General features: G+C 37.8%; 1 pseudogene; it reads left to right on the top strand.

Annotated features, from left to right (window-relative positions):
• ANOS2P (anosmin 2, pseudogene) overlaps positions 1 to 12,217 on the top strand; it is a 168,317-nt pseudogene that overhangs the window by 37,289 nt on the left and 118,811 nt on the right.

Below are 12,217 nucleotides of genomic sequence, written 5' to 3' on the forward strand. Positions count from 1 at the left end.
TGGGAGTTAAGGCTGAGAAGGAGTAAAAAGTAGGGCTATATGGTCGAGGGGTTTCATACTTAAAGCATTCATATGGGGCTGAGATCTTTTAAGCCAGTAATCTTCACATTGAAGAAGAAGATTGCCAATTCTATAGAGTTGAGATTTATTTAGTGGTTTGGGGGATCCTATAATTAAACCATTATTGGGAAGGGACATATTCAGATATATTATTGGCAGTGGATGGGCACAATGTGGTATATTCATATAGCTGAATCTGACGGTCAAAAAAGATGAAGTACTAATATATACTGCAATGTACATGAAGCAAGATTGCTGTAGCATTTAGCATCAAGAAGGCAACACATATTGTATAATTTCGTTTATATAAAATGCCCAGAAGAGGCAAATAGATAAAGACAGAAAGTAGATTAGTGTTTGCCAGGGTAAGGCAAATAGTGGGAAGACAGAATGGGAGTGACTACAAATAGGTCCAGGTTTCTTTTTGGGCTGATGAAAATGTTCTACAATTAGATAGTGGTGATGGTTGCATAGCTTTCTGAATATACTCAAATTGTACAGTTTAAATGAGTGCATTTTGTGAATTGTATCTCAATAAACTTGTTATTAAAGTATTTTCTAAAAGATTTTTTTGATTCAATTTTCTTTTCTCATAACTGCAAACACATGTCATCTTGCTGTATCGATACTGGTATCCTTCATATTAAAATTTTAGACGTTCAAACATAGGAAATGGGTGATTTTATCTCATTTCCACCTTGAACTTCAGAGAACTAGAGGTCATGACATCTTAGCTGTTGGGTGATGTTTTCTGCTAGCTTTACCACGTATTCCAGCCTAGCATAACCTGACTTAAGAGATCCCAACCAGAGAAAAATACATGACCAAAATCTTAGTTATGTGGAATGCAGAAATCCTAATGTTCAAGATAATGAATTACAGTCCAAAAATTTGTTACATACTGAGTGTATCTATTGTTTCATTTAGTTATCCCAGTGACCTGATGTATGAGATATTGCTGATATGCTTGCTTTATATGTGAATAAACTGAAGCTTGGGGATGTGAAGTCCGTTGTCTGTGATCATATGTTTGGTGAAAGAGTAAGAGAAGGCTTTCCACATGAGATTTGATGTGGTTTGGATTTGTGTCCCTGCCCAAATCTCATGTCAAATTGGAAGGATGGGAGGTAATTGGATCATGGGGGCAGATTTCCTCCTTGCTGTTCTCATGATAGTGAGTGAGTTCTCATGAGATCTGATGGCTTAAAAGTGCATAGTACTTCCCTTTCCACTCTCTCTCTCTTACTCTGCCATGGTAAGATGTGCTTGCATCTCCTCTGCTTTCTGCATGATTGTAAATTTCCTGAGTCTCTCTGGCCACACTTCCTGTTAAGCATGCAGAACTGTGAGTTAATGATATCTCTTTTCTTCATAAAATACCCAGTTTTAGGTAGTTCTTTATAGCAGTGTAAGAACAGACTAATACAGGATTTTTCTCCCGATCCCAAACTCTTATTTCTGTAAATTGGTTGACAGCAAAAGCATCCACAGTGCATAAGTTGTAAATTTCCCAAAGTGCTGATTGTTGGCAGACTGTCTAGTGTTCATTTTCCTGCTTCACTGCTCAAAACACCAAAGTTGCCTCAGACCCTTTTTCATTTCAGACAGCTTGGAATCTTTACTATTTTATGTGTCTTTGTTTACAGAATGAAATCAGTGACAAAATGAGACTTACATTACAAACACATTTTCTATCACTGAAAGTGAGGCACATCAGGTTTTGCAAGATTGGGCGTTTGTTAAAATGCAAATATTCAAAAATTATATGCATAAATTATAATTTTAAATTAGAAATCTGTGTATGTGTAGCTTTGTATTAGAAAAGTGTATAATGGGTCAACATTTTTTCTTTTTCTTTTTGCAGAACAGTGGTTCCCTGCTTTGGTGCCAGAATCACAAGTGATGTTCTAAGGTAGATTTCCTATACCTGTATGAATGGTGCAAAAACTTCTAATTTGGGAATAATTATAGTTTCACAGAAGTCACAAAGCACAAAGAAATCACGTGTATCCAGTTTCCACCAATGGTTGCACTTTAAGTAGTTGTAAACAATATCAAAAGCACAAAATTGACATGCATGCAATGTATGTATATAATTTTGTGACATTTTATCACATGTAAGATTTGATTTGGGTAGTTATCACTGCCATCAATTTACAGGTGTCAGTGGTTCTATATACTACCTTATTTTATGTTTTGTTTGTAATTTCCTGTTAAAAAGCATTAAGGAGAAAATGTTTTCTGGTTAGGCCAGAGAGGATTTCATGTATTCCATTTACACTTAGGTAATTTTGCATGCATTTTCATTTCTTTGTAGGAATTGCTGGTTTAATTTGCTGCGTTTTTTGTTTTTTGAGATGGAGTCTCCCTCTGTCACCCAGGCTGGAGTGCAGTGGCGTGATGTCAGCTCACTGAAACCTCCACCTCCAGGGTTCAAACGATTCTCCTGCCTCAGCCTCCCAAGTAGCTGGGACTACAGGCTCTCACCACCACACCTGGCTAATTTTTGTATTTTTAGCAGAGATGGGGTTTCACCAATTGGCCAGGCTGGTCTCGAACTCCTGACCTTGTGATCTGCCCACTGTGACCTCCCAAAGTGCTGAGATTATAGGCATGAGCCACCCCGCCCGGCCAATAATTTGCTTTTTAATAAAACAGACTCTTTTCCATTTTTGAGTATTCTTTTCTGCACACTAAAGAACATGATAAACTTTCTTATCTTACTTATTTATATGTTTGATATAATACATTTCTTACCTCAATCCCAATACACCACAATTTTTCCTTTTTTAATATTTATATGATAATGCTCCAGCTCCAGTCTGAAGTACATTTTATAATAAGATTGTATTAATGAGTAAAGTTTACAAAGTTTGCTAAAAATTTTGCAGCAACTTTGGGATCATAATAATGTTTGATAAAATTTATTTCATGGGGCTGGGCATGGTGGCTCATGCCTGTAATCCCAGCACTTTTGGAGGCTGAGGTGGGTGGATCACAAGGTTAGGAGATCGAGAACATCCTGGCTAACACAGAGAAAATTTACCTCTAATAAAAATACAAAAAATTAGCTAGGTGTGGCGGTAGGTGCCTGTGTCTCAGCTACTTGGGAGGCTGAGGCAGAAGAATGGCATGAACCTGGGAGGAGGAGGTTGCAGTGAGCCGAGATGGTGCCACTGCACTCCAGTCTGGGTGACAGAGCAGGACTCCATCTCAAAAAAAAAAAAAAAAAAAACACACACACACACACAAGAAAAACAAAAATTATATCATGGGTATTACTTTTAGTCCTAAAATAGAAATATACCTTTATTTTATAAACAAAATTTAATCTAAGGAATATATAATATTGAAATAGCATATTTATAAAAAGGATTGTTTTGTTAAAGGTCTTTCAAATACATAAATTATTATAGAATCATATTCCTAAACTAAAAACTTTGTTTCTAATGATGCATTTCCATAATCATGCACATATTTTGTCATTTAATACACATGAATTTTACTTTAAAATAGAGCAGAATTCTTATGGGAATGTGAAATAATTTGGTGAAGGTAAGCTTTGCTTATTTCTGACTGTCTAGATCGTGGGCAGAAATGAAATGCTTGGTTACAATCCACTTATTCTGTTTATGTAATGTCTTAAGCATTTGCTCTGTACAAACATTTTTGGGTATTAATTATATTAAGTGGTTGTCAGCTGGAACTTTGGATAACTTTTTTTATGCCATCATTGCAGATAAAGCACATAATGTCATGAGGCTGATTAAATTTCATAAGTATTCTTATTGTCCAATTTTTAAAAATTGTGTATTATAGGAAAGAGAATTTGTTACGTTGGTATTACTTCTTATTTAAGCACTCATATTTTCCATATCCCATCAAGAAATTATCTTTTACAAACTTAGAAGGAATTTGAATTGAACAGTTTTATTTGAACTACTTTAAAATTATTGCAGTGAAAGAAATTTGTACATTAGGGACTATAGATGGTTAAACCATAGTTTGCAAATGATTAATCAAGGCTGCCATGAGAGACTGAATTCCACAAGAAAAGAAAGCAATCCTTTTTGTCAGAAAGGAAGAATCAATCAATAAGTCACAATTAATCCCAACTGAAAACTCTGGAATATATTACAAAGCTCACAGAAATTTAAGGTTTGTCTTTAACTTGGGATCCCTGGGAATCTTTGGGAATGAATCTTGCTTATTAATCAAAGTTTGTCTCCTTTGGATGTTATCATGACTGGATACCTGTGCAGATAATTAGTTTGCATTTCTTTTGGGATTCATGAAGTACTAGGTGGGATTTTTCTCTTAATGCGTTATGTTAACAAGGTTACTGGTAATCTGTAGTCACTCCGTTTTACAGACAGGGAAAATCAGGCACACATATATTTGATGATGATTCTATAATCACTCAGCAAGCCAGTGTAGGCATAACAGATCCCTGTGTCTACACTGTTACATACGGGCCAACAATTCTAGAAACTAGTTTTTATGAATATAGGGAGAGAAAAGTCAGAAAACCCAGAAGCAGTGTTGACGATACAATTTTCTGATTATCTGTTTGGAAGATTAGGTTTGCATAATGTTTTCTAGAAACCACACACTGTTTAATCACTTCTGGTGACCATCTGCAAAGCCTGTCAGCTTCCCCTTCAGACCCCCTGTGGAACAGATCTCATCTAACCACTCTTCCTGTCTCCAGCCTGCCATTCTCTCCGGCTGTGATGAATCCAAGAGCATCCTGTTGGGTCTCTCAGCCTCCACTCTTACCCCAAAAAATCACATTTCCTCATGGCTGCTGGAAAGACTCTTAAAAATACAAGTGGCATCGGCCAGGCGCGGTGGCTCACGCCTGTAATCCCAGCACTTTGGGAGGCCGAGGAGGGCGGATCACGAGGTCAGGAGATGGAGACCACGGTGAAACCCTGTCTCTACTAAAAAATAAATAAAATTAGCCGGGCGTGGTGGCGGGCGCCTGTAGTCCCAGCTACTCCGGAGGCTGAGGCAGGAGAATGGCGTGAACCCGGGAGGCGGAGCTTGCAGTGAGCCGAGATCGCGCCACTGCACTCCAGCCTGGCAACAGAGCGAGACTCTGTCTCAAAAAATAAAATAAAATAAATAAATAAATAAATATATGTATGTGTGTATATATATGTATATATGTATGTATGTATATAAGTGGCATCACACTGCTGTCTACCTTAAACCTAATGATGTATTTCCTTCTCACTCAGATGAATCCAAAGTTTTATGCTTATACTCACTGGTTCTCTATTGTGTGCCTGTGCTCTGCCCCCAACTTTGTTGTTGTTTGTTTGTTTTTTGAGATGGAGTCGTGTTCTGTTACCCAGGCTGGAGTGCAGTGACATGATCTCACCTCACTGCAATCTCTGTCTCCTGAGTTCAAGCGATTCTCACACCTCAGCCTCCTGAGTAGCTGGGATTAAAGGCACCTGCCGTAACGCCCAGCCAATTTTTGTATTTTTTAGTAGAAATGGGGTTTCACTGTGTTGGCCACGCTGGTTTTGAATTCCTGACCTTAAATGATCTACCCACCTCAGCCTCCCAAAGTGCTGGGGTTACAGTGTGTGCCACCATGCCTGGCCTCTGTCCCCAACTTAATCACCTTCTACTCTACCACTTCATGACTGCTTTCCCCTCCACTCAGAATGTTCCTTCCCTTGCCTCACGAACTGTCTTCATTCAGGTCTTGGCAAAAAAGCCAATTTCTTAGCCATGACTTCCCAGGTCACCCTCCAACATACTTAGAAGCTTTATTGTCCATATTGTGCCCATATGTGATGTTATGGAGTTACTGCTTTATCTGCTTAAAATCTTCCTCGTTCACCAGAAAAAAGCTTCATGGGGACATGAGGACATACATGCTGTCCTCATTGTTCAATGTGGTGTCCCCAAAGCATAAACTGGTATTTGGCACATAGTAGCTGCTCAGCAAACATTTTTGATGAATGAGTGAATGAAACAAACACTTATATTGCATAATCCTACCCAATGTCTTTACCGCATTACCTTCAGGAAAAAAAGCACCATGTCATCCATTCTCAATGTGCATGACTTACTATGTTATTTAGGGAAAGTTTGCTGTTATTTTTCCTGTGTGAAAGTTGATCATATAAATTGAGTCATTTTTGTCATACTCAACTAAGTCAAGGGGCCAGGGGGAGAAAACACAGGGCATGTAATATTTCAAGAAGATAATTCTCTGCAAGCCTGGCTACTCAAGCTGCCTGCCATAACCTGAAACTGGTTTTATCTATAGCTACTGAAACAAGCTGTTGCAACTTTAAGACCAATTTTTCCTACTGTTGTTACTCATCAATCAGAACTTACCAGCTCCCTAAAATTTTATTCCTGCTGGTGAACTTTCTTTCAAAACAACACATAACATCTCTCCTTTTGGTATAACCTCTTTGTTCTTTGGACATACTGAAGAATACCTGGTCTATCTGTATGCCTCGAATGGAAATTCTTGCTTCCTAAATAAAATGTTTTAACTGTAGAGATTTGTATCTGTGCTTCATCAGACTTCAAGAGTATGCTGGGCTTGACATAATGGAATCAGCACTGTGAGCTCAAGGGTCTTTAGCTCCTGCACCACTCAACCCTAGAGAATGAGGAAGAGTACCTTATTGCCCAGCACTGGTCTAGGCCAGTGGTTCTCAACTGAGGGCGATTTGCTCCCCAAGGAACAATTGGCAATGGGTGGAACTATTTTTGGTTGTCAAAGTTGGGAATGAGGAGTTATTAACATCCAGTGGGTTAAAACCAGGGATGCTAATATAGAACCTATACTGCATGGAAAGGCCCTCCCACAGCAAAGATTATCTGGCTCCAAATATCGGTAATGCTGAGATTGACAAACCCTGGCCTACACATTTGGGGAGTTATGAAAGAAATTAAGAGCATGGTCCTCAGCAGTTTTAATTTATTATATAAAGAAAATAAATGTGTAGTTTACTGAGCACAAGGTATGTGCCAAGTACCATTTTAGGGGCTCATTATGTCTAGGAATACTGATTGTCATCAAGTACTCTCTAATACTGGTGAGAGAGGTTGCTGTTTGCCTCCTAATCCAGTTTCTCCTCCTCTCTGCTAAAGGAAACCTCATTCCTCACCTGAGCTCATTTTCACCTTGGGTTAAACATCTATATTTCCCCAAGCTCCTTTGCTTCTAAATTTGGCCACTAACTAATTTATTGCCCACATGGAATCATTGTGAAGAACTTTCAAAATGTCTTTTTAAAAAGGTAACTGATTTAGCTAGAAAGTGTACTGGTTTGTTCTTTCCCCCTTGCTCTTTGCTGCTTGTTAGAGGGCATACCAATGGCAAGGGCCCCAGCAGCTTTCTTGGGCCATGAAGTACTTTTGAGGATGGAGTCCAGGCTGAGAATACTGACAAGAAAGATAGGAGGAACCTGGGTCTTTGAAGCTATTGAGTCCCCATAGCATCCTTGCACATGAAAAGGAAATAACTTTCTATTTTGCTTAAGTTACTGTTATTTTACATTTCGTTTTCCCTATGAAGATGGAATTGTGTGTGGGCAAACTTAATCTTAGCTTAATCTTGGAATGGCCATCTTCATGTCACAGATGCTCAGGAAAGGTAGGTGACTTTCTTACAAAGTCACTTATCTAGTAAGTACCAGTAAATCCCCCACACAGGATTTAAACTGTGTTCTGATGGAATTAAAAGCCAGTGATTTTCTCATTGGGTACCTCACACATATGAAGTCTTATAGAATAACTTTTTAAAACTGATTAAAAATCTCTTGCTCAGTTTGTGGTTGCTTCTCTTGATGTGCTAAGTTTTTTCCTGAGTCACCCGTATAGCTACTGTGAATAGTGTAATGTCCTGGCAAAACAGTGGCCTAATTGTACTGAATGAGCTGTATTTTCTCTTTCTTGCTTTTATACCCCCATTGTCCAGTGGGAAGTCAGAAAGATACAGCCTGAAGATGGCTTACTCTTCTAATTCAGCTTCATTTACGACCATAAGGCTGCAGTTTGCCCTTGGCCGTTGCAAAATAAACTGTTTGCAAAATTGACATCTAAACACAGTTTCAGTCTTGCATGGTTAAGGGCAAACCATTCATTCATTCATTCATTCATTCATTCATTCATTCGTTCATTTTTTTGAGATGGAGTCTCCTTCTGTTGCCCAGACTGGAGTGCAGTGCACTGCAACTTATATCTCTCGGGTTCAGGCAACTCTTGTGCTTCAGCCTCCCAAGTAGCTGGGACTATAGGCATGCACCACCATGCTCGGCCTCCCAAAGTGCTGGGATTACAGGTGTGAGCCGTCATGCCTGATCAAACCTTTTAAAATATATCAAATATATCCTAAAATGATGTCTTTACAATAACTTATGTTTAGTACTTCAATTTTAGTAGTAAGTAAATAACAGTATAATCTCTCTCTTTATTTTTATTTTTATTTTTTTTCGAGATGGAGTCTCGCTCTGTTGCCCAGTCTGGAGTTCAGTGGTGCACTCTTGGCTCACTGCAACCTCCGCCTCCAGGGTCCAAGTGATTCTCCTGCCTCAGCATCCCAAGTAGATGGGACTACAGGCACCCACCACCATTCCTGGCTAATTTTTGTATTTTTAGTACGGATGGGGTTTTGTCATGTTTGGCCAGACTGGTCTCAAACTCATGACCTCAGGTGATCCACCCGCCTTTGCCTCCCAAAATGCTGGGATTACGGGCGTGAGCCACTGCATCTGGCCAAGGTCATTTGTCTCTAATCAAGAAATAACTATATACCTTTGGCTTAAAAACAACAACAACAACATATATATATATATATATATATATATATATATATATTTAAAATTCTATCTAAATAATCTTTGCAATCAATTTTTAATCTTAGTTTCATTTTTTTAGTCCAAGCCACCCTAAGAACTTTTTGGAATGAAATGTTACTACAATACTGTAAAACATGCTGATAAAATGGGATATATTTCCATTGTAATGATATTTTTAAGTTGGTCCAATCTTAAGAATGTACATTACTTCAAGAACCTGTTTTATTTATTCTTTCTTTCGAATAACAAATAGCTCCATGCCAAATATAATGTGAATCAGATCCTATCTTTTTGTATAGGATGTATTATATCCCATATATTATAATGTGGTGGCTGTTCAGCGCTTTCATTTGTGTTTCTAGTTTAACATTTTCTTTAAATACATTTCATTTGCTTATTCCAATACAGTCTGATTAATTCTGTTTCAGTAGATGTTCATTGATCATCTACTATGTCCTAGTCCCTAGTGATAAAGTGATACTAAATGTGAACTTGGTCTTTGCATTAATTTTTGCTCACTGAGAAAATTCCAAGCTATTATTACTTCACCCCTTCTTAAAAATTCATGCAATATTCCTCTGAGTCCCCATTACTTGAAGACTTATATAACCACCTTCTACCCCTTACTTTGCCCGTTAGAGCATTCGTGTACCTTTAGAATCCATTTCTGCTTTTCTTTTTGCTAACCTCTCAATTCTAACTCTTTTCCAATGTTCTTAGTTTCCTGTGTATTCACCCATTAATGGTTAATGTGTGAATAACTTAGTTTCTGTCAGGCTCTGTTTATGGTCTCCTGGCTTGATTCTCATGTTCATTACTTATTTGTTACTCTGGGATGGAAATATTTGATAAAGAATGAGAAAACTATTTGAATGGGCCACAGACACGTGGATCCTAGGACTGACTCTGTTAAGTGTTAGACAGTTTCTCTCAGTAAGGGAACATGGGTGATACAGACCACTGAGATCATTGTTTGCATAAATGATGGAGAGAAGAATTCTAAAGCTAGAGGGAATATTTTGGAATATTCCAGTACAATTCTTTCATTGCGCAGTTCAGGAATCTGAGGCCTAGAGCAATGATATATCCAGCCAAAAACAGCCTCCAGCTCGGAGGAAATGGTTTGTCTTAGATTCTATTTTTCGTTGTACGTAATTTCTCTAAAGGCTCACTTAGGAATGATTTGGAACATTTGACAGGAGATTTGAATTGATGGGCAGAAAGCCCTTGTATTTAGTTATAGTACAGAGTCAAAATATTTAAATGTCAAAATATTTTAATGAGCTGTGTTAACATCTATGTTTCCTAGTAGCTTTTCCTGGTAGAGAGGACAAATATTCTTCTCTCTACCCATCCAATGTTGATGACTTAAATACTTATAACAAAAGATAGATTACAATGAGAAAAACATACAAATTTATTTAGTAAGTTTTACATGATATGGAAGTAAATGATTAATTCCATATATTTTTATGGTAGCTTTGATAAAGAGTGGATGCTGATGGAGAAATATGATAGAACAAAAAGGGTGTGATGTAGTGGAGATAAACTGGGGAATTTAGCAAGGCCTGTTTGTTCAGGTTCCTCTCTGTGACCCTTCACCTTCAGAGATGAGCATGTTCCTTTCTTCCAGGAGTCAGGAGGCCCTCACCTGAGTGTCTTCTGACCTGTTTCTTGGTAATGTTGGAAAAGCTTTCCTAAGCTATATGCCCTGCATCGGGGAGAAGCATATATGTGGGTGAGGAGGGGAGGTCAGAGAGACTTTCCTACTTCTGTTTTTTTAATATACCAAGGTGCCATATTTTGAGTAGTGTCTTCTGAATCCCATCATCCTTTTCAATGTAACTTTTCATTAAACTCAGTGTTCTAGGATAGGGGTTAGCAAATGACTTCTATAAAAACACCAGATAGTAACCATCTTTGTCTTGGCAGCCAATATGGTCCCTGTTGCAACCACTCAACTCTGCTGTTGTGGCACAAAAGCAGTAGTACAGAATATATAGACCAAGAAGAGTAACTGTGTTTCAATGAAACATTATTTGTAGATACTAAAATTTGAATATCCCATAATTTTCACACATTATAATATTTTACTTATTTTTTTCCAACCATTGAAAATAAAAATAACATAGCTCACTAGTTAAACAAAAACAGGTGACAACCTGGATTTGGTCTGTTGCTATAGTTTCTAAACCCCTGTTCTATGACATTACAGTCACACAGACAAAACAAAACTGAAACAAAATAATAAAAATGCATTTTTCTGACAATACAAAGACATATCTTTTTTTTTTTTTTTTTTTTTGAGACAGTGTTTTGCGCTTGTTGCCCAGGCTGGAGTGCAGTGGCGCAATCTCGGCTCTCTGCAACCTCCACCTTCCAATTTCAAGTGATTCTCCTGCCTCAACCTCCTGAGTAGCTGGGACTACCCATGCCCGCCACCACGCCTGGCTAATTTTTGTATTTTTAGTAGAGACAGGGTTTCACCATGTTGGCCAGGTTGCCTCAAACTCCTGATCTTGTGATCTGCCTGCCTCGGCCTTCCAAAGTGCTGGGATTACAGGCATGAGCCACCCCACCCAGCCAGACATATCTTAAAACATTCAAAGTCAAACAAAATGGACAGTTTCTGACATCGCTTATAGAACATTCTTTATCAACCTGCGGGGATTTGAAATAATGAATAGTAAAAAAAAAAACTTCAAATAAATCACAGTTAACTTTTGAAAATCCAGCGTTAAAATGAGATGATCAGAGTCAAGAACAATTGTGAAAGACTTGAAAATTGGCAAAAGTAAAGACTATTTTTTCTCTCTATTGCACTTTTCCAAGTTCTGTGCAGTGTTCACTGTCTTTGAACTATTTTCCCTCTCTGCAAATGGTAGAAAATTGATAATATAGATAACTCTTGTCCATGAAAATGCAAATAAATTGTGTCTAGTGGAATACACTTGATACTTCCTCCAGTAATACAACATTTTGTATATATTTGTAAATCCATTCCAGTACCAGCATTCCTTATTTACGCTATTCACCCATCAATCCATCAATCCATCCATCCAACTTAATCTATCATTTATCTATCTATCTACTGAATTTTTCCTTTGAATCAAATATAACATATGACTATTTCTTGAATTACATAAAATCTGTGGTACATTTTCATTTTATATTTGTGTGAGAGTCATGACCTTACTTTATAAAAGATTTCTCCTTTAACCTTCAGCTCAGAGTTATATTTCAAAACATTGACTCTAAGAATGGCATGTCCCGTAGTAACCACCACATATCTGTGGGAAGTCTGCATGCTTATCTTTCTG

This window comes from Homo sapiens, chromosome Y, assembly GCF_000001405.40.
Source record: "Homo sapiens chromosome Y, GRCh38.p14 Primary Assembly".
Taxonomy (NCBI): Eukaryota; Metazoa; Chordata; class Mammalia; order Primates; family Hominidae; genus Homo; species Homo sapiens.